Source organism: Homo sapiens, chromosome 1, assembly GCF_000001405.40.
Source record: "Homo sapiens chromosome 1, GRCh38.p14 Primary Assembly".
NCBI lineage: Eukaryota > Metazoa > Chordata > Mammalia > Primates > Hominidae > Homo > Homo sapiens.
The window spans coordinates 54,802,926-54,825,243 of NC_000001.11; the positions used below are offsets into that span (position 1 = coordinate 54,802,926).

General features: G+C 48.7%; 1 protein-coding gene across 5 annotated transcripts in view, besides 2 other annotated features; it reads left to right on the forward strand.

Annotated features, from left to right (window-relative positions):
- Positions 1,957-2,166: an enhancer, noted in NCBI's record as "active region_1067". NCBI's record gives its function as "activates an Ori minimal core promoter by ATAC-STARR-seq in GM12878 lymphoblastoid cells {active_cell/tissue: GM12878}" and the evidence as "EXISTENCE:reporter gene assay evidence [ECO:0000049][PMID:35858748]".
- Positions 3,138-22,318, forward strand: part of CIMAP2 (ciliary microtubule associated protein 2) — a 36,190-nt gene continuing 17,009 nt past the window's right edge. For 4 of the 5 annotated variants that reach the window (XR_001737006.1, NM_152607.3, NM_001110533.2 and 1 more), the window contains exons 1-9: positions 3,138-3,295; positions 4,071-4,158; positions 4,601-4,765; positions 4,964-5,086; positions 8,869-9,006; positions 9,121-9,264; positions 10,889-11,050; positions 11,989-12,114; positions 14,064-14,197. Coding sequence is in view for 4 of the 5 variants with exons in the window: in NM_152607.3 (NP_689820.2) it covers positions 3,192-3,295; positions 4,071-4,158; positions 4,601-4,765; positions 4,964-5,086; positions 8,869-9,006; positions 9,121-9,264; positions 10,889-11,050; positions 11,989-12,114; positions 14,064-14,197 (1,184 nt within the window). In the remaining variant the exon portion in view is untranslated. Of the gene's footprint in view, positions 3,296-4,070; positions 4,159-4,600; positions 4,766-4,963; positions 5,087-8,868; positions 9,007-9,120; positions 9,265-10,888; positions 11,051-11,988; positions 12,115-14,063; positions 14,198-21,942; positions 22,104-22,318 lie in introns of those variants that run through there. The other variant, XM_017000480.2, reaches the window with a different exon arrangement.
- Positions 9,149-9,648: an enhancer, noted in NCBI's record as "H3K4me1 hESC enhancer chr1:55277747-55278246 (GRCh37/hg19 assembly coordinates)". NCBI's record gives its function as "activates a minimal SCP1, AML or CMV promoter by ChIP-STARR-seq in primed H9 embryonic stem cells {active_cell/tissue: H9 hESC(primed)}" and the evidence as "EXISTENCE:reporter gene assay evidence [ECO:0000049][PMID:30033119]".

Sequence of the window (22,318 nt, forward strand, 5' to 3'; positions counted from 1 at the left end):
GTTAACCATTTTCAAGTGTACAGTTCAGTGGCATTAAGTGCATGAATGCTCCCCTGGCCTCGTCCTTGTCCCTGAGGGCACTGCTATACCACTGTTCCTACCTTCCATCTCCAGAACTTCATCTTCCCAAATGGAAGCTCCATACCCATTAAACAATAACTCCTCATTCTCTCCCCACCCAGCACCTGGTACCCACCATTCTATTTCTGTTTCAGTGAATTCAACTATTCTAGTTACCTTACATAAGTGGAATCATATAATATTTGTTGTTTTGCGACTGGCTTATCTCCCTTAGCATGTCTTCAAGATTCATCCATGTGGTAGCACGTGTTAGAATTTCCTTCCTTTTAAAGGCTGAATAATATTCCATTGTATGAATATATCACATTTTGTTTATCCATGTATCTGTCAATGCATACTTGTGTTGCTTCTACCTTTTGATTATTGTGAACAATGCTGCTATGAACGTGGGCATACAAATACATGTTTGAGTTCCTGCCTTTAATTCTTCTGGGTATATGCCCAGCAGTGAAATTGCTGGATCATATGGTAATTCTATGTTTAATTCTTTGAAAAACTGCCAGACTGTTTTCCACAGCAGCTGGACTATTTTACTTTCCCACCAGCAATGGCCAAAGGTTCCAGTTTCTCTACAACCTCACCAACGTATGTTATTTTCTATTTTTTTTTTTAAGATAATAGCCATCCTAATGGGTGGGTTTGGCTTTTGATTTGACTCTGAAAAAGATGAGTAAGAGAGTTGGGTGGGAAGGGTAGGTTGGTGGGGAGCGCATATCATCAGCAGCAAAGGTATGAAAAAGCTAGAGGTTCTCCAGGGGAGGGTGTGTCCTAGGGACAGAGCAGCCTTGTGGCTGGAGGTTACAGAGCATGGGGCAGAGATGGCAGGAGATGAGGACTGAAGGCAGGGGCCACAGCCCTATCACAGAGGCCCAAGTCCTGACTGAGAAGCTTGACTTGACTCCACTGACACAACAGTGGCTCTGGAGTCTGGACGGGTTAAACAGTCTTGCAGCCAGGGAGCTCTCCAATGTGCTTATGAGTCCCATATTCATGGTGTGACCCTATGCCTCACGAGATGTGACCAGGGCAAGTTATTCTCCCCATCTGAGCCTTAGTTTCCTCTTGTGTACAATGAGGGTGCAATGGTGCCTATAAAAGAAAATGGGTGAGATGCTAGACAAGGAAGCTGCTGTGATGGGAAACTTTGGGCTGACCAGGGCAGGCGGCCTTGCTGCAGAGCTGACTCATTTGGCCTGTTCTGGCTTTCCTGGCAGCCACGACTCCCAGCCCAGTGGACCTTGGCTTATAGCCTTTGGTCACTCCTCCATGAGTCCTAGAGCCATGGGGCTCAGGCCAGAAGAGAAGCAGCAATATAGCTGCAGGCATGTCTGGGCCACCCTGAGAATACCCAAGCAGACCCAGGGCTGGCTGAAGTGCACAGGACTGGAGAGTGTGCACATCCACACCTTGTTGACACCTCAAAACAGCCTTTCCAGGAAGCCACAGTCATAGGTCCATGTCACAGAAGAGGAAATCAAAGTTGGCAAGGGTAACTTGCCCAAGGTCAGCACCCAGGAAGTGGCAGAGCCAGATTTAAATGTGTCTTTGAGGATTTATGTGTTATTGGGTAGTTTGACCAGATGCATGTATTCATTCCCTTGTCATTCAACAAATATTTCCTGAACATTTACTATGTGCTAGATGCTGCACCAGGAGGAAATGAGACAAGTGTCTGTCCTCAGGCCTCTGTAAAGGTCTCTAACCAAGGGCTGGGAATGACCTCCAATTGAGCTCCTGCTGTGTGCCAAGAGTATTACCTAAATCAGGTCATTTCATCCTCACAGCAGCCTGGGAGATAGAGACGATTACTTTCATTTTATAGAATGAAACTGATAATGCTGTGACTCAGAGAAAGAAGTGACTTGCTCAAGATCCCACGGCTGGGAAGGGCAGAGTCTGCTTAGATGACCCAGGCTTTCCGTTCTGTGCATGTTCCTGAGGCCTGCCACCTCTGACCATCAGCTCAGTGGTGCAGCGCAGACGCTCTGCCAGCAGTGGCCCGCCAGGCCTGGAGCCTAAGGGTCCAGCTCTCAGCTGTGCTGGGGAGCCACACTTCTTATCTAACTACCAGCTTGGGATGTCAGAAGGGCACTGGGTGGGGCCTGGCAGAAGACCCACTGTGCCTCTGGTCCAGGTTCACCATGGGCTGGAAGCAGGGCCTCTGGTACAACCTACGCCTCTCTGGCTTCAATCCTGTCACCATGGAATGGGGTATGGATCTCTGCCCCACCTTTGCCTAAGATCCTTGGGAAGATCACAAGCCATCGTGAGAGAAATTAGACAATCTCAGAGCATGGCTGTGGAGCACTGGTTGGGGGGTAAAGAAGGAGGGAAGAGAGAGCTGACTATGCCCTGTGTGGGGTACATACCCTCAATTCCTTTCTTTACTTGGAAAGTCATCCATATGCTTCAATGTTGAGTTTGGAATTCTCCTCCAAGAAGTCTTCCCTGACCTACCTACCCACAGGCTGGGTCAGAGGCCTCCCTCTCTCATAGACCTGACCATAGTATGTGGTCATTGCTTCCCCCATTATTTTCAGGGCAGGGACCACATCTGGGTCCCAGTCATTCTGCACTGTGTCTGCCCAGAGTGGGTGCCAGGGACGTCTAGGGGCCGGTTGAGTCCTGACTACCCCTGCAGCTTTGCCCAGCCCTCCACCCTCTGGCTCTCCTTGCCCTTTCCCCCTTACTTCTGCTCCCCTGACTCCCAAAGTGGAGAAGGAGCTGGGATGTCATTTGCCCAAGGCGGCCCTCTCTGTGGGCCTCAGTTTCCCATCAGCACAAGGTGAACTTTAAAAGGTTCTTTCTGAGCCTAGGCAGGCTCCATGCAGGGCTCTGGGATAAAGCCAGAAATCAGAAACACTTCCTCAACAAATGACTGTAAGACCCCACCCAATGGCATCCATATTAAATACAAGAAGGGCCATTACATCTGCAGGGGCCAGGGAAGGACCCTGAAAATGTGCACGGACAAGTTAAAAATCAGCGGGCTACGTGCGCACGCCGGTGGGGGCGCCACGTGGGCGAGGGCGAGGCCCACAGCTCCGGGGCGCATCACAAGGCCCGGGTTGCCGTGGCAGCAGCGGAGGCGGGCAGCGCGCAGGCCTGCCATGAGGGAAAGCCAGGATGCCGCCGGAGCTCATGGCTGGAACCGCGTCGGCTCCACGGCCACCAAGTGGTTCACCGGGGCGCCCTTCGGGGTGCAGAGCCACAGGTGGGGCCCGTTTGCGTCCTGGGCTCACGCCCACGGTCCAAAGCAGCTGCTGCCCACCCCGAAGCCACGCTTGGCCTCGGGAGAGAGGGTGTCCACCTACACACAGGGCTGAGCCTGGCGGGGAGGGGAACCAGAGGAGTGGGGGCCGGCAGTGAGGAGGGGCTGGGCTTTCTCTCCCCCTCTTGCTTAGTGCTCTTCCCTGCCCAGGGTTCTTTTACCATCTAAGTGAGTTCTTTAAAACCATTTCAAGAGCACTTACTATGTGCCAGGTTTAGAGAGGTCACATGGCCTGGTCCATAGTAGGCCACTCAGCTCAAAAGTGGTGGGTGGGATTTCAGCCCAGGTGTCTGTCTTCCATTCACTCATATTCCACTCTGTCTCTTTCTCTCTCTCACCTACTGTGTTCCAGGCACAGTTCTAGGATCTGGGGCTACAGCAGTGAACACAACAGCAAACCCCTGTACTCATGGAGTTTGCTCTCTTCTGTGGGGGGTGGGGGTGGGTAATAAACAAAAGTATGTACATCTGTAAAACCTTGGGTATTGGTAAGGACTGTGGAGAAAAATGAAGCTGGGAGGAGGAGCTGGTGGGTGGGGTGGGGTGGGGTGGGAGCAGCCTGGAACATTCAAAGCCACTGCAACTCCACTACTTTTCTTTCATGAGCTTGCTCCAAAGTCACCTTCCCGGGCAGCCAACTCCCCCATGCTCCAGAACTGCCCACGCCAGGGCCAGGTGCCAGGCACAGGGCTCTCACTGGGCCACCGTCCCTCCCTAGGTTTGACATCTCTGCTGTTTATCCCAACTGGAAGAAGTTCAGCACCTTCACTGAGGCCCCATACTCCACGCGTTATTCTACCCAAGTGGTGAGTTTGCACAGCTTCCCTGACTCCTCCCACAGGGTCTGGCCACTGCCCCTTCGAGCTGCCTGCTGTGGTGGATGAGCTGAGCTGTAGAAGGGGCGTACTTTCTACCTTCTTCCAGCACAGAGCTGGACCCACAGTGGGGGCTTCCAGTGTGTTTGATAAACGAGGGACTGCAGCACTCCCAGCTTGTGCACTGACTACCTCTGGGCTCTTGAAGGAGTTGTTATACCTTCCTGCAGTGTGAGGGGGCAGTGATAGAGGATGTCACGATTGCACCTTGAGTGCCAAGCCTGTTGGTGCCAGCCTTAGTGCTGAGGGTGGGAGCCACAGGGGGATTGCCTACTCCCTTCCTCCGGGTCAGGGTGGTGGCTTGGTGAGGGCCTGCTCTGTGGGTAGACTGGGCGGGCGTGGCTGTCACAGCTCTGACCACACTCTGACTCAGTCCCACATAGGCCCTGGGACTTACAGCTCCAAAGAGACCTGCTTCAGCAAGAAGAAGCTGATGAAGGAGGTGGACACAGGCTGGGCCAAGGCCCAGGAAGCCACGCGGCTGACCCAGCTACCCCACTTCCAGTACCAGGCCATCATGAAAGAGAAGCGGCTGAAGGTGAGGCCTCTGGGGCCATGCCTCTCCCTCTCTGGTGCCAGGTCTTCCTGTCCATTGCAGCTGCTCTGTGTGGCCTTCAGTGTCCTCCCAAGGCCAGATGGAGATTATCCTTTAAGGAACACCATCGTGCCTTGGGCTTCTTCCTGCGTGGATTTTCCCAAGTTTAAGGCTTTCATTTTCTCTCTTCTCTTGGCACAGGAGCAAAAGCTGGGCCCCGGCTCCTACAACCTCAAAGACTTCTTAGAACAGCTGCGGGAGAAACCATGTAGCACCCGGGGGCTGCTCAGCTCTGGGGAGGTTCGCTTCCGAGGACTCACTGGGGTAGGTGTTCTCATGTCTGGAGTCCCAAGCAGAGAGCCTGGCATACACTGGGTGCCCAACAAATTCATTCACTTACATATCCATCCAGCCAGCCAGCCAGGAATAAGGATTAAGCACCTCCTAAGTGGCATACACTGTCCTAGACCTTGGGGATCTAGCAGTGACGAAGACAATGTCCCTGCTCTCATGAAGTAGATGTCCTAGTGGTAGAAATAGTAGTACAAAGAAGGAAATATAATACGTATATAAGCAGGGCTATGAACACAAATTAGACAGGCAAGGGACAGGCAGTGATGGTGGTGCAATTGATAGAGAGTAGTCAGGGCTCTGGGAGGAGGTGACATTTGAGGAAACCTACAGGTCGTGAGCAACGGAGACTTGCAATGTCTGGTACAGCATTCCAGGCATTGGAAGCAGCAGAGGCTAAGGCCTTGAGGTGGGAACATGCTTGTCAAATCAGACCGGCAGGCAGGAGGCCAGTGTGGCCAGAGGGCACTGGCCGAGGGTGAGAGGAGGCGAGCGAGAGGGCAGAGGGGTGAAGGGCTGGGTCATGAGGGCCCTGCAGCCAAGGTGGGGCCTTGGTGTTATTCCAGGTGCTGCCGGGGGAGGGCAGTGGAGGGCTTTGACAGGAAGAGGACCTAACTTACCTTTTTAGAGGAAGACCTTCGAGAGGGCCAGGGTTGGGAGGAGGCGATGGTGCTGAGAGGTGGGGGTGGCAGCGCCAGGGGATGATGATCTCATCAGGAGGACACTGAGTGAGGCTGACACTCAGTAAGGGCACGAGGGAGAAAGCAGGAGTCACCCCCTACCAAGGGAGCCAGCACAGCAGTTTGTTGGCCTGGACCTCTCTGTGCTGGATACTCTGTTATCCTCCCAGCCCCTCATATAGGCCATGCTCTTTCACATGGGGCTTTGCCCCTGCTGTTCCCTCTGCTAGGAATGCCCTTCCTCCCTTGGCAGCCTCTTCTTCTTGTGTGTGACTGGACAGCAGCCCCTGAGGGCGGACCACGTCTGCCTGGTTCCTTCACTGCAGCACTCTGAGGTTCTTGCAGTGCCTGGCACACATAGGCACGCAATAAGTATTTGTGGACTGAATAAGTGCATGCATCCTAAGTATCAGGTGCTCCAAAACATTCTAATTCTTTGCAATCACTCCAGATGAGGCCCTGGAGGCTCAGAGCAGATAAGCAAGTTGCCCCAGAGTGCACAGCTGCTAAGTGGGCAAGCTGGGATGCAGACATGGGAATGTCCAACCCCAGAGCCAGGGTCTTTCTCCTACACCTCACCACTGGGAATGCTTCTGTGAGGGCTGGAAATTACTCCTGACAGGGTCTGGGGATGAGCAGATGCACCTTCAGGTGCAGAAGCTGTAACTGTACCTTAGGGAGAGGGGATACCTGGAGCATTTAAAAATGTCATTACCGTCCAATCTAAAGTAATAATAGTGGACATGTAGCATAGCACTTACCATGTACTAATTAATTTCATGTTCATGACAACCCTATGAAGCAGGCACTATCATTATGTCCATTCTACAGATGAGAAAAATGGAGTACAGAGTGAGTAACTTACTGCCCAAGGTCATGAAGCTACCAACTGGCAGAAGTAGGCTTTTGAATCCCAGGTGTCCAACATGTACCTTGCATTTCACCCACAGGTTTGGCCCCCATAGTTCTTGGACTTTGCTCCCTGAGTCTCTGTGGAGACCAAGGCCTGGGTGTGGGAACTCAGCCAAGCTGATGGCAGGGGAGCTAGGGGGACAAGCCTGACTCTGTTTCCTTCCTGCCTTTGCTCTTTTTCACTGGGGGGCCTTCCCACCTTCCCTCGTACCTGTCTTTGGGGATCCTTTTCAAAGTCCAGCCTGAAAAAAAAACCCCTAAAACCAAAAACTTAAAAGTGATGATTCATTCATTTCCACACTCCCCCTCTCCAATTAATCATTCCTGTTTGAGTCCCCAAAGCTCAGACAACGTAACATTCTAGTTAAAACCGTAGGCTTTCCCATCAGCCCAAGTGTGGTACTGAACCTCTGAACCTGAAGGTTTTAAGGAAGAAAATAGGATTATCCTGAGAAAGTGCCCAGCGCTGGGCTTGCCTCTGGGCTCCAGGAGCAGGGCCATTCTCACCCTTGGTATAACCCTCATCTTCAAAGTCTCCCAGGTCCTGTGGTGCTCACTGCCAACCCACCCCGGTGCCTTCCACAGAGCCTGGCAAACAGTAGAGGCTCAGAAAGGTTGTGGATTTTGGAGTTGAAACTCTCATGCTGTCTCTTTCTGGCGGTGGGACCTCAGACATGCAGTTTGCCTCTCTGAGACTCAGTTTCCCCATCTGTTAATTGTGGATGGTGCTGACTTGGTCTCCCCCAGTCACTGCCAGGACCAAGATGTTAAGGCTGGTGAAGCACCTAACACACCATGCAGGGATCCAGCTATCCTTGGGGGCTTTCTCCAGAATGTACGTGGGAACCCTGGAAGGAGACATGTAGTTCCATTCCTCTGGGAGCGAACAAATCTGATGCCCTTAGTGGCCTGACTCCCCACGCAGAGGTCCCTGCCCTTCCCGCCCCATCCTGCTTCCCCAGGGCCGGGTTCCAGGCTCAGAGGTAGGGCATGGCTGAGCCATCTATGGAGCAGCAGTGACCCCGCATGGCTAAAAGGTGCAGAGCAGCAGAAAACGTCCTGCCAGGTCTCTACCCAATGTGGACTGCACTTTTCACTCTGCCTACAAAATCACGCTTCTGACCCTGGCAGCCCAGGTCCCAGATGGTCATTCCAACCAGTTGCTAACCTTTCCTCCTGCCCCGCAAGGCATTCAGCCACCCCACCCTGACTTCTCATGTGCCAGTGTCCACTCTGTGCCAGACACCGTTGCCTGTGAGCCTCCACTACTGCTCGCACCTTCACTTCCAAGTTCAGCCTCTTCTCCAGGGCCCTACTGGCCCGTCCATGCTCTGTCTCACTGCCTCTTCCCTGCATCCCACACTCTGACATGGTGGGCTCCTCGCTGCTCCCCAAGCACGTGCCATTCCACCCAACCTCCTTCCCTTGCTTGCAGACATTATTTAACTTCATCGTCATTACCTGGAAGACAGTATTCCTATCCCATGGTACCAGTATGGACCATGCGACACAGAAGGCCTGAGGTCACTCAGCTAGGAGGCAGCAGAGCCAGGATCTGAACCCAGAACGGCAGTCCTTCCCTGTCACAGCACTGTTCACAGCACATTGAGAAAGCCCTCATGTCACGCAGGGCTGTGGTGCAGGGGTGTAAAGGTTGGAATTGCCAAATCCACCAAAGCAGGCAACTGTCTCAGGTGGAAGCAGGAGGAAGGCTTCATTCCCAGGAGAGATGACATGTGAGCTGGCTTTGCAGGAGCAGTAGAATTGTCCAAGGCAAAGAGGGCAGGAAGGGCATTCCCGGTGGTGGTTACAGCATGAGCCAATGAGGGAAGAAGGTTGGGCAGAATGACATGTGCTTGAGGAGCAGCAAGAAGCCCATTATGTTGGCCAAAGTGTGCAATGTAAGGAGGAGGCAGTGAGATATAACTTGCACAGGCCAATCCAAGTTCAGCTGGGGAAGAGGCTGAACTTGGAGATGAAGGTGTGAGCAGTGGTGGACGCTCACGGGCAACAATGTTGTGTGTCAGAGGGCAGGTAGCAAGCGGACACCCTGAAAATCCCATTCCCTTCTTGGGGATGGCAATCTCAGGTGTCTGTTCCTCAGGCACACTCAGCACAAGGAGTGGTTCTGACAGCCTCCATGCCCCCACCCCCGCCCCACAGAACTACTATCCAGGCCCTGGAAATTATGGGGAGAAGGGTAACCCATACACCAAGCTGGAGGAGAATGCCTGGAACCGGTCTCATTCCGAGGGCCTCATGTGCAGGATGAGCAACAAGCCACACCCCCGGCCTCATCAGGTACCCCCTCGGCTGGCCAGGCCTTGCCTGCCTTCCCGTCCTGCAGGGGCACTCCCAGGGCAGAGGGGGAAGCTGAGCTCTCCTGCAGGCCTCATCACCTCTGCTGTGCTCTAGGGGAGTGGTCTGGGACCCGGCACCTACTTCTTCAAAAGCGACCTTGAGACATATGTGGCACGATCCGTCGGCACCCGCGGCCCCTATGACACTTTCTCTGGTGATCGGAGCAAGCCACTGCCTTATGGGCACTACTCCATGCAGGTGTGTACCCAGGGGTTGAAGGGTGTTAGTCCATGCCCCAGCAGGATGACAGGCCTCACTAGTCAGCACCAGGAACACCAGCCTGTGTGCCAGGCTCTGCACCGGGCCTTTCCCACACCCCCTCACTTCACCCTCACAGCCAGGGCTGGATCCGGTTTCCCATGTTAGGTAGGGAAAACTGAGGCTGGCCACATGGCTGGAAGGAGCAGAGCTGGGATTTGAACCCAAGGACGTCTGTCTGACTTCACTGCCAACTCTCTCCTCTGCACTGGCATGAAGTGCCCAGGAGGTGAAGATGGCCCACAGTGCCAGGGGAGCTTGGCCATGAGGAACCTTGATGGCAGAAGGTGGGAGCATCCTCCTATTTTGGAAACAGCAGGCATTATAGACCAAGCTGGCTGGGTTAGGGCCAGCGCTGTTAACAAAGCAGAGAACAGGAGGCCCAGGAGGGGAACTTGAGGTAGAATTTTGTCTTGGTATCTCACAGCTTGCTGCATTTTGCTTGCTTTGTGCTCATAGCCACTGGAATTAGGTTTTGTCTAATTGCCTGTTTATGTTGTCTCCATTATGCATTCTCGCGGTGGGTGTGATTAAGCCAGGTAGTAGGTGAGGTACAGGGGAAAGCAGCCCTTGCGGAACTTACATTCTAGTGGGGAAAGAAACTCAGTCATCAATGAATAAGAAAAAAATTATCGAGTGTGAGCAGGCAATGAGTGCTACGGCAGAGCTCAGGAGTGCTGAGGAGGGTGGTGGTTAACGTAGAAGGACCTCAGGACCAGCTGGCAGGTAGCCACTGAGCTGAGGCCTTCGACCTGGCTGCTCCCTGGAGCCCCCCAGACCTCCCCATGACCAGCTATGGCAGGGGTCAAGGGACCCTCCTCAGGCACTGTGGCCAGTGCCCATTCTGGCTGGCCAGCGCCCAGGCCACGCTGTTTGCTTTTGTTTGTGAGACTTTTTTTTTTTTTAGATCAGTTTCAGGTTCACAGCAAAATTGAGTGGAAAGTACAAGGAGTTCCCATATACCCACTGCCCTCTCCACACCATGCACAGCCTCCCCGACCACCAACATCCCACAGCAGCCTGGTCTGTTTGCTGCAGTTGAAGAACTGATACGTCATTATCACCACAAGTCTGTGGCGTACCTTAGGGTTCACTCAGGTGGTGTACATCCTGTGGGTTTGGCCAAATGCGTGACATGCAGCCACCATTTTAGTATCATACAGAATAGTTTCACTGCCGTCCAAATCCTCTGTGCTCCTCCAGTCACTCTGGTTTTAAATATTTAAGACATCGTTCCTGCTTAGAATAGTGCCAGACTCAATACATGTCCAACAAATGAAAGAAAGAAGAAATGGATGAAAAGGAGCTGGGCAGTAGGGTGTGGCAGGTGCATGGTGCAAGAGACTAACCCCGCCCCGACCCGCTGGTTGGGGAAAGACTGTCTGTTTCCACCAGCCCTTGTCAGGGGGGCCTTGAGGCTGGCCCGGCCTCCGGCCTCCGGGATGTCTGCACAGCAGGATAGTAAGTGATGCCCCATTGCTTTTCTCTGGTTGCGGGGGAGGGTTGAGAAAGGAGCTCTTGATTTTCCTGGCATAGCAGATTCCTTTTTCTCTCTTTTTCTTAGAAAAAAAAGCCCAGGGAACTGATGAATTTCAAGAGCTTTGTAGAAGAACTTAACTCACATCACAATAAGAAGCATGGGGTTTTTTCTAAACTTCCCCGAAACCCGAAAACCCCTACAGAGAGGATTTACTGGGCCAACCTCAGCCAGTGCCCCCGCACACTGGTGAGTTCACTCCTATGGCCGGCCTTCCTCTCTCGGAGGGCAGCTCTCCTTCCGGGGCTGGGCATGGGGTAGGGTGGCTAATTTCATAGGGAATAGCTCAGTCTTGGGATCAGACTGACTTGGTTTCCAATCCTGGTCTGGAACATTGGGACACTTTAGGTGAGACTTTGGGCGTCGGTTTATACCCCTGTCCTATGAAGATGGTGAAGTGGTTGTGGGAAATTAGATGAGGCCCTGTACTCGGAGCCTACAGCATGGTGCCTGGTACCCAGGAAGCGCCCAGCCAGTGCCGACCTTCCCCCTGCACCTCCCTCCTCTGGCCTCAGAGCGTTGGAGGATGGGCAGGGGAAACTGGAGCAGGGCAGAGTGCAGTCTACCCACTGGGACCTGCCCACTTGCTCCGCCCAAGGGAGTGGTGCACTCGGCCCTAGTGTCAAAGCAGGCCCTCTGGGGGTCTGAGCAGGCCCCCAAAGCACGGTCTGCCCCCGCTAGGCACTTTCCAGCCTTCCTGAGGTAGGGATTATCATCTGCATTTCACTAAAGGAAACCGAAGCCCAGATCTGGAAAGGGATTTACCAAGTTTCTCCAGCAAGGGTGAGACGGGGCTGGGATTGGAACCCAGCTCATCTGGCTCCAAGTCTGGTGTGGTCTCCTTCCTCAGAAATGGGGTCTTCAGCTGTCTGGGCCCCACCAGACAATGAAGGCCCTTGGACACCTGAAAAGAGGCATCAGGCTGTGATGGGTGTTTGTTAGAGTGGGTGGCATGGGTCATGAGGGCCCCTTTGCCGGGAGATAGCTGGGTACCTCCACCGTCCTTGGCTCAAGACCCAGGGCTGCTGGATGGGTGGAGTCAGCTGGCCAGAGCCCTCACCTGCCCTGGGCCCAGGCTGACACTGCCAGAGCCTCTCCAGATTTCAGCCTTCCTTCCTTACTCGTAGGCCACATCTGGCCCCAGTTTCTGGCTTCCACAAGAGAAGAAATGCAAACCCGTCAACCAGCCCCCATTCCTGTTGACCTCCAAGGGGTCAGGTGCAAAGGCCTGCCAGATGATTATGGGAAGCTGGGTAAGTGGGTCTGGGGTGAGGGATACATGGGAACTCTCTCCTGCCTCTACAGCCAACACCAAAGCCTCTTTGTCCCCAGGTAACCGATGCTTTGAGTGAGCCATATGCCTCCCCTTTCTTTTCCCCAAGGGACCTGAGGTCCACTCCCACTGTCTTATTTTCCTAAGGCATTGGTTCTCAAACTTGAACTGGTATTAGCATCACCTGTAGGACTTGTTAAAACACAGATGGCTGGGCCCCATGCCAGAGCTTCTGATACAGTAGGCCTGGGTTGGGACATGGGAATTTGCATTACCAACAAGTTCAGGTGATGGCGATGATGCTATTCCAGGGACCACACTTTGAGAACCAATTAGCTAAGAAACATCACACCGCAGCCATGCCATTCTCTTATTTTCCCAGAGAAATGCTCCTTCCATCCTCTGTGTTTGTCTTGGGCCTCAGGGGCAGCTGGTGAAGCTGGTGCATTTCCCGTCCCTCACTGAGCAAGACCCCCTTCTGGCCCCTTCCCTTTCCCACTCTCTTCCTTCTCTCCAGAGGCAGCCATCCCCAAGTGTGCGATGTATCTTTAGTTAGTGTTCTTGTAAACCAGCTAAATTCTTGGCCTTGGGCTTTGACCTCATTCTGTTTCTTACTCCACCCCTTTTCAGTTTGTAATGCACCTTTTATTGGAGTCTAATAATCATAGAGAAAGGCGCTGAGTCCTAAGTGCACAGCTCCATGAATTGTCACATAATGGCCGTAACTATCCCCCAGAGCATTTAACAGCTCTCATTTCCAGCTCCCCAAGAGCCCCTGCCATTCCCACCCCCACCCCAATTTGATAGCCTGTTCTCCTGACTTCCAGTAGCACAGGTCAGCCGCCTCACCTCCTTACCTCCCCACATGGTGGCAAGGTCCTCAGTGTGCCCAGACCCCAGTGACTGATTCTTGTGAGGACCAGCTGGTTGTCCCCGAATCCTTCCTTTTTTTACCTCTAGCCTGCACCCCCTGCAGGGGAGAAAGTCTTTACCTGAGAGTCCCCAAATGAAATGTTTAGACCAGAGCCAGATGACCCTACTGCTACCACAGAGCCAGCCACTGTGAAGTGGGAAGGGCTGATGTGAGGTCCGGGTTCTGGTGGCTCAGCTGACCGCACCCCACAGGGCGGGAGAGCCCCTCTGCTGGCACCTCCAAAACCTGGGTGCCTCATGAAACAGGCTTCTCCCTTGTGGGAGGCAACTTCTGTTTAGCATGGGACCAGCTTCTGGGTCCTAACATCTCCCCAGCCCACCCCTCAGGACTGCTTCTCTGCAGATGGCCGGGTTCTTGTCCTGCCTTTATTCTGCCCTTGCCGTGTTACCTTGGGCAAGTTGCATCTCCTTTCTCAACCTCTCTGTTGGTGCCTCTAGGATCTGTGACCCCGATATCTGGGTGGGATGCTGTATTCCCTTCCTAGGGCTGCCACAAACTAGGTGGCTTAAAGCAACAGAAATATTCTCTGACAGTTCTGGAGGCGAGAAGTCTGAAATCAAGGCGTCTGCAGGTCCGTGCTCCCTCTGAAACCTGTTGAGAAGAATCTGTCCTTGCCTCTTTGTAGCTTCTGGTGGTGGCCAGCAATCCTTGATGTTCCTTGGCTTGTAGTCGTCACTCCAGCCTGTCTCCTGGCATGGCTGTCTTCCTGTGTATCTCTTCTTAAAAGGACACCAGTCACATTGGAAGAAGGGCCCACCTTACTGCAGTATGACTTAATCTTAACTAATTATGTCTGTAGCAACCTTTTTTCCAAATAAGGTCACATTTTGAGATACTGGGGTTGCTCGGGGTTGGGACCTCAACATATCTTTTTGGGAGACACAATTCAACTCATAACAGATGGAGTAGGGAAGCGTCCAAGGGGAGGAGAGGAAGCCGAGACACAGTCTCCAAGCCAGGCTTGCTAATGTCCTGCCATCCTCTCCCTGTTGCAGAACCCAGTAGGTGTGGGCCGCTACCTCAACACCTGGCTGATGGAGACAAAGGACAGGCGGCAGCGATATCGATCCCTATTCCTGAGTGGATCCAAACGCTACCTCTCAGACCTGGCCCGGGACATGCTCATGCAGTGAGTGCAGCTGGAGCTGCAGGCGAAGGGGCGAGGGCGGTGGGGGGTCTTACTCTGGGGTGGGCTGGTGGTTCCCCATGTTTGGTTCCCATGGGAACACAGCTTCTGCCCCTAATGCCAGCCAAACAGCAGAGGCAGTGGAGGGACGTTCACGTTCAGATCCTGGCTCTGCCACTTACTGTAAGTGTGAGGTGGGGCATGCTGCGTAACTTCGCTGAGCCTCATTTCCTTCAGCTGTCAAAAGAGCAGATGTTTGAGGAGACCCAAATGAAATGATCTGTTGAAAACCCTTGGTAAGGAAAAGGTACTCAATCAACCTTAAATCTGCCACCCAGAGCCCATACGGTCCAGTCTCGGCTCTCAGTGGCTTCACCACGTGGAATCTGTTTCTTGGTGTTCATAATGGGGTTGGTAAAACTCATTTCAGAAGGTTGCAAAGCCTAAGAAGGGAAAGGTACATTAAATACTGTGGCAAACTATACAACAGCTTGTAAATGTTAGCTGCTGCCATATTTGATTGACCTAAGAGGCCATCCATTGTAATATAGTAACAATTTCAGAAATGTTACAATGTTGACAAACATGCACTTTATAATCCAGTATTTTTTTTTTTTTGAAATTATGGTGAGGACATGAGGACCAGATTCTGAGGACCAGATTTCTCAGGAGAAATCAGCTTTTAAATGTAATTTTAAAGAATATTTTATTTTTTATCAAAGTAGTGCTGTGTCTTCCTCCTTCTCAACTTACCCCCTTGTTCTGGTGGGTTCCTGAGAAAGGGCTGAGGAAGGAAAGATTTTTGATAGAATGTATGCCTGAAAATGTTTCTTATTTTTCCTTTCTGCACATCTGATCAATAGTTTGGTTGGAAATAAAATTCTAGGTTGGATATAATTTTCCCTCTGAATTTTGAAGGCCTTTCATAGCCTCCTAGCTTCAAATATGGTTGCTGAGAAGTCTTATACCTTTCTGGTTTTCTGTGCTGTGTATGTGACCTGCATTTCCTTCCTGGAAGCTTTCAGGATCTTCTCTTTGTACTTCCTGTTCTGATGCATCTTGGCATGGGTCTGTTTCATCCTTTGTGCTGGGTACTTAGTGGCTTCCCTCCATCTGGAGACTCAGCACCTTCTATTCTGAGAGAATCTTCTGAGTTTTGTCTTTGACGATTTCCTCTCCTCTGTGTTCTGTCTGCTGCCTTTCAGATATCTCTTTTAGATGAATGTTAGATGCCCTGGTTTGGCACTCTAGTTTTCTTTTTTTTTCTCTCTCTCTCTTCTTTCTTATTTTCCATCTTACCTTTCTGTTCTACTTTCTGGTAAAATTTTCTTGTCCTTATCTACCCTACTATTATTTTAAAAATTTTGGCTATCATATTTTTTAGTTTCCAAGAGTTCTTTTGCTGTGGATTGCTCTTTTCTTTCTTCTTTTAATAGCACCCAGTTCTGTGTCATGTATGCAGTGTGCAGTATGTTCTTTTTTTTTCTTTTAAGATGAGGTCTCACTCTGACGCCCAGCCTGGAGCACAGTGATGCAATCTTGGCTCACTGCAACCTCTGCCTCCCAGGCACAAGCGATCCTCCTGCCTCACCCTCCAAAGTAGCTGGGATTACAAGCATGCACCACCACACCCGGCTAATTTTTGTTATTTTTTGTAGAGGCCAGGTTTTGTCATGTTGCCCAGGCTGGTCTTGAACTCCTGAGCTCAAGCAATCTGCCTGTCTCAGCCTCCCAACGTGCTGGGATTACAGGTGTGAGCCACTGCGGCTGGCTGCAGTATGTTCTTTTATCTAAAGATGTTAATTAAGTTTTCCTGAAGTTCTTTTGCCCCCTGTGTTGTCTCCAATTCTTCCAAGTTCCTTTTTTTCTTTTGCTTGTTTGTTCATACTGAAGAGGAAAGCACTAAATAATACTGTGAGTCTGGTTGGGGCCTGTCAGTCACTGTGAGTGATTGGCAGGGGCCCTGGTCTTTCTGTTGAGACCCTCAAATGCCAGTGTCTCTAGGTGTTTTCTGTGGGACTATTCAGCTTCTCTAGAAAACAATCCTCTGTCCTGGGTGGGGGTAAGTGTGGTTGTTGGCGATCAGAGGAAGGAGACTGGGCTGTCTCATTCAGCGTATGGACTGCCTCCTACCCCCTCTCTTCTCATTGTGGGACCTGTCTGCCTACATTCCACTGTGCACCTCCTCCTAGCCCCCTGGAATCTATCCACAAACCAAACCTCCAGTCTACTGCTGGCTGGGTGAGGAGTCAGCAGGAGGTCATGTCTAGATGGGATCTCATTCTGTTACCCAGGTGGGAGTGTAGTGGCACAATCATAGCTCACGGCAGCCTAGAACTCCTGAGCCAAAGCAATCCTCACCTTGGTCTCCCATGTAGCTGCAACTATAGGTGCGTGCCACCATGACTGGCTACTTTTTAATTTTTATTTTTGTAGAGACAGAGTCTCACTATGTTGCCAAGGCTTGTCTTGAACTCTTGGGCTCAGGCTGTCCTACCACTGTGGCCTCCCAAAGTGCTGGGATTATAGACATGAGCCACTGTGCCCGGCCTCACCTGTTTTTGAAGATACCTGTGTGTCCCATTCCTAGAACTTTCTGAGGTTTTGTGGCAGGAGTTGGCAAGTGTCTCCTCAGCTTTCCCTACCCTCCCTCCCTCCCTTCCTTCCTTTTCTTCTCTTTTCTTCTTTTTCTTTTTCTTTCTTTCTCTTTCTTTCTTTCTCTTTCTTTCTTTCCTTCCTTCCTTCCTCTCTTTCTTCCTTTCTTCTTTCCCTTCCTTCCTTCTTTCCTTTCTTCCCTCCCTCCCCCCCATATTTCTTTTCTTTCTGTCCTTCTTTCTTTCTCTTTTCTTTCTTTCTTTTTCTCTCTTTCTTCTTTCTTTCTCCCTCTCTTTTCCTTCTTTCCTTCCTTCCTTCCTTCATTCATTCCTTCCTTCTTCCCTCCCTCCCTATCTCCCTTCCTTCCTTCCCTCCTTCTTTCTTTCTTTCTCTCTCTCTCTTTCTTTCTTTCTTTCTTTCTTTCTCTCTTTCTCCCTTCCTTCCTTCCTTCCTTCTTTTCTTTTCTGCTTTCTTTCTCTCTCTTCTTTTCTTTTCCTGTTTTACATGCAGTGGTATGAACATGGCTCACTGCAGCCTCGACTTCTCAGGCTCAAGCAATTCCCCAACCTCACTCTCCCTAGTAGCTGGAACTGCAGGTGTGCACCAGCACACCTGGCTAATTGAAAAAGTTTTGTTTTTTTTTTGTAGAGACAGGGTCTCACTATGTTGCTAGGGCTGGTCTCAAACTCCTGGCTTCAAGTGGTCCTCCCACCTCGGCCTCCCAAAGTGCTGGGATTACAGATGTGAGCCACTACGCCTGGCCTATTTTTAGTTTTTTAAAGAAACTTCCATACTGTTTTCCATAATGGCTGTTCTAATTTGCATTCCCACCAAAAGCATGTAAGAGCTCCCTTTTCTCCACATCCTTGCCAGCATTTGTTACTTCTTGTCTTTTTGATAGTAGCCATCTTAACTGGGGTGAGATGATATCCCTCAATTGGGGTTTTGATTTGCATTTCCCTGATGATTTGTGATGTCAAGCATTTTTTCATTTATCTGTTGAGCATCTGTATGCTTTCTTTTGAGAAATGCCTACTCATGTCCTTTGCCCACTTTTTTTGTTTGTTTGTTTGAGATGGAGTTTCGCTCTGTCACCCAGGCTGAAGTGCAGTGGCGTGATCTTGGCTCACTGCAACCTCCGCCTCCTGGGTTCAAGCGATTCTCTTGCCTCTGCCTCCTGGGTAGCTGGGATTACAGGTGTACACCACCACCCCCGGCTAATTTTTGTATTTTTAGTAGAGACGGGGTTTCACCATGTTGGCCAGGCTGGTCTTGAACTCCTGACCTCAGGTGATCCGCCCACCTTGGCCTCCCAAAGTGCTAAGATTATAGGCATGAGCCACAGCACCCAGCCTGCCCACTTTTTAAATGGGATTATTATTATTGCTGTTGAGTTCCTTGAATATTCTGGATATAAATTTCTTGTCTGATGAATAGTTTGCAAACATTTTCTCCTATTCTACACGTTGTCTCTTCACTCTATTGATTCTTTTGCTGTGCAAAAGTTTTTAGTTTAATATAGTCCTATTTGTGTATTTTTGTTTTTGTTGCTTGTGCTTTTGAAGTTTTAGTCATAAAGTTGTTGCCTAGACCAGTGTCCTAAAGTTTTTCCCTTATGTTTTATTCTAGTAGTTTTACAATTTTGGGTCTGACATTTAAGACTTCAATCAATTTGGAGTTGATTTTTATATATAGTGAGGGGTCTAGTTTCATTCTTATGGATATTCAGTTTTTCTAACACCATTTATTGCATGGTGTTAGAATAATACCATTCTATGTAAGGTCATTTTAACAATATTAATTCTTCCAGTTCATGAACATTGGATATCTTTCCATTTGTTTGTGTCCTCTTCAATTTCTTTCATCAGTGTTTTGCAGTTTCCATTATAGAGGTCTTTCACCTCCTTGGTAAATTTATTCCTAGGTATATTTTTTGGCAGCTATTGTAAATGGGATTGTTTTCTTGATTTCTTTTTCAGCTAGTTACTGGTGTATAGAAATGCTACTAATTATTGTATGTTAATTTTGTATTCTGACAACTTTACTGAATTCACTTCTCAGTTCTAAGAGTTTTGATGGAGTCTTTAGGTTTTTATCTATATAAGATCATGTTGTCTGCAAGGAGGGACAATTTATAACTTCCTCATTTCTAATTTAGATGCCTCTTATTTCTTTTTTTTTTTTTTTTTTTTTTTTTTTTTTGAGACGGAGTCTCGCTCTGTCGCCCAGGCTGGAGTGCAGTGGCGGGATCTCGGCTCACTGCAAGCTCCGCCTCCCGGGTTCACGCCATTCTCCCGCCTCAGCCTCCCAAGTAGCTGGGACTACAGGCGCCCACCACTACGCCCGGCTAATTTTTTGTATTTTTAGTAGAGACGGGGTTTCACCATTTTAGCCGGGATGGTCTCGATCTTCTGACCTCGTGATCCGCCCGCCTCGGCCTCCCAAAGTGCTGGGATTACAGGCGTGAGCCACCGCGCCCGGCCTTATTTCTTTCTTTTGTCTGACTGCTCTGGCTAGGACTTCCAGTACTGTGTTAAATAGGAGTGCTGATAGTGGGCATCCTTGTCTTGTTCGACTCTTATTTAACATAGTACTAGAAGTCCTAGATGTTTATTGATTTTATGTTTTCAAAAAACCAACCTTTCATTTTGCTGATCCTTTGTATTGGTTTTTTTTTTTTCAGTCTCTATTTTGTTTAGTTCTGCTCTAATCTTTATTTCTTTCCTTCAACTAATTTTGGGTTTGATTTGTTCTTGCTTTTCTAGTTCCCTGAGGTGCATTGTTACGTTGTTTATTTGAAATCTTTCTACTTTTTTGATGTAGGCATTTATTGCTATATTCTTCTTCCCTGTTAGCACTGCTTTTGCTGTATGTTGTGTTTCCATGGCTCATGATTCTCCCACCTCAGCCTCCTGAGTAGCTGGAACTACAGGTGCACATCACCATGCCCAAGTAATTTTTTTGTATTTTTAGTAGAGACAGGATTTCATCATGTTTCCCAGGCTGATCTTGAACTCCTGGGCTCAAGTGATCCATCCACTTCAGCCTCTCAAAGTGCTGGGATTCCAGGCATGAGACACTATGCCTGGCCTCTTTCTTAATTTATTCCTTGACCAAGTGGTCTTTCAGGAACATGTTGTTTAATTCCCATTTATTCGTACAATTTCCAAAGTTCCTCTTGTTATTGATTTCTAGTTTTATTTTATTGTGGTCTGAGGAGATACTTGGTATGATTTTGATTTTTAAAAATTTGTTGTGACTTGTTTCATGGCCTAACATATGGTCTATCCTGGAGAATGTTCCATGTATTGATGAGAAGAATGTGTATTCTGTAGCTGTTGGACGAAATGTTCTGCAAATGCCTGTTAGGTCCATTTGGTCTATAGTGTAGATTAAGTCTCATTTTTTCGTTGATTTTCTGTTGGATAATCTTTCCAATGCTGAAAGTGGGGTCTTGTCTACAACTATTATTGTATTGAAGTCTATCTCTTTCTTTAGCTCTAATATTATTTGCCTTATGTATCTAAGTGCTCTGGTGTTGAGTACATATATATTTACTATTGTTATATTCTTTTGATAAATTGACCACTTTATCATTATCTAATGACCTTCTTTGTCTCTTTTTATGTTCTTTTTTTTTTTACTTAAGGTCTGTTTTGCCTGATATAAGTATAGCTACTCCTGCACTATTTTGGTTTCCATTTTTGTGGAATATTTTTTTCCATCCCTCCACTTCCAATCTATGTGTGTCTTATCAGGTGAAGTGAATTTCTTGTAGGCAGCAGATAGTTATCTTCTAGACAGCAGCCAGTCTATATCTTTTAATTGGGAAATTTAAAACACTTACATTCAAAGTTGTTATTGATAGGTGAGAACTTACTCCTGTCATTTTGTTGTTTTCTGATTGTTTTATATATCTTTTGTTCCTTTCTTCCTCTTTTATTGTTTACTTTTACAATTTGGTGGGTTTTTGTAGGGATAACGTTAGACTACTTTCTCTTTCTCATTTGTGTATTTGCCCTACCAGGGAGCTTAATACTTTTGTATGTTTTCATGATTGTAGATGTCGCTCTTTCCCTTCTAGATGTGGGACTCTCTCAAGCATTTCTTGTAGGACTGGTCTAGTGGTGAATAATTCCCTGTTTTTGCTTATGCTGCAAATAATTTATTTCTTCTTCATTTTTGAATGATAGCTTTGCTGGGTGTAGTATTTGTGGTTGGCAGTTTTTTTGTTTGTTTGTTTGTTTTTTCCTTTCAGCACTTTGAATAATCATCCTATGCTCTCCTGGCTTGTAAGGTTTCTGCTGTTTTGGACTTTTTTTTTTAAGACAAGTTCTCGCTCTGTCACTCAGGCTGGAGTGTAGTCATGCAATCATGGCTCAGTGCAGCCTCAACCTTCCAGGCTCAAGCAATCCTCCCACCTCAGCCTCCCAAGTAGCTGGGAGCATAGGCATGTGCCACTATGCCTAGATATATATTTTTTTACTTTTTATTTTTTGTAGAGATGGGGTCTGTGTTGCCTAGGCAAGTCTTGAACTTCTGAGCTTGAGCAGTCCTCCTGCCTCGGCCTCCCAAAGTGCTGCGATTACAGGTGTGAGCAACCATGCCTGACCTGTCTTTGACTTTTGACAGTTTGACTGTAATGTATCTTGGAGAAGGCCCTTTTAATTGTATCTATTTGGGGGTTCTGTGAGCTTCCTGTATCTAGGTGTCTATATCTTTTGCAAGACTTGGGATGTTTTCAGCTATTATTTCATTAAATAGGTTTTCCAATCTCTTTTCCTTCTGGAACTCTCAAAATTATAATATTTTATTCCATTGTGGTGTTCTGTCACATATACTTTCTTAATCTTGTAATTTTTTTTCTTCTTTTTTCTGTCTGACTAGATTATTTCAAGATGCCTGTCTTCAAGTTCATAAATTCTTTCTTCTGCTTGATGTAGTGTATTGTTGAAGTTCTTGATTGTATTTTTAATTTCCTATATTGAATTGTTCAGTTCTAGGATTTCTGTTTGGTTCCTTTTTAGTGATATCTTTTTGTTGAATCTCATTCAGATCATCAATTGTTTTCCTGACTTCTTTGTAATTTTTATCTGTTTTCTCTTGTATCTCATTGATTTTCTTTAATATCATTATTTTGAATTATGTTTCAGGCATTTCATAGATTTCCTTTTGTTTGGGATCTGTTACTGGAGAAATATTGTATTCCTTGGAGGTATGATGTTTCCTTGCTTGTTCATGTTTCTTGTGTCCCTGTGTTCATATGTGTGCATCTAGTATAACAGTCACTTTTTCCAATTTTATGATTGTCTTTCATAGGGAATTACTTTTTTTTTTTTTTTTTTTTTTTTTTGAGATGGAGTCTCGCTCTGTCACCCAGGCTGGAGTGCAGTGGCCCTGATCTTGGCTCACTGCAAGCTCCGCCTCCAGGGTTCATGCCATTCTCCTGCCTCAACCTCCCGAGTAGCTGAGACTACAGGCACCTGACACCACGCCCAGCTAATTTTTTCTGTTTTTTAGTAGAGACGG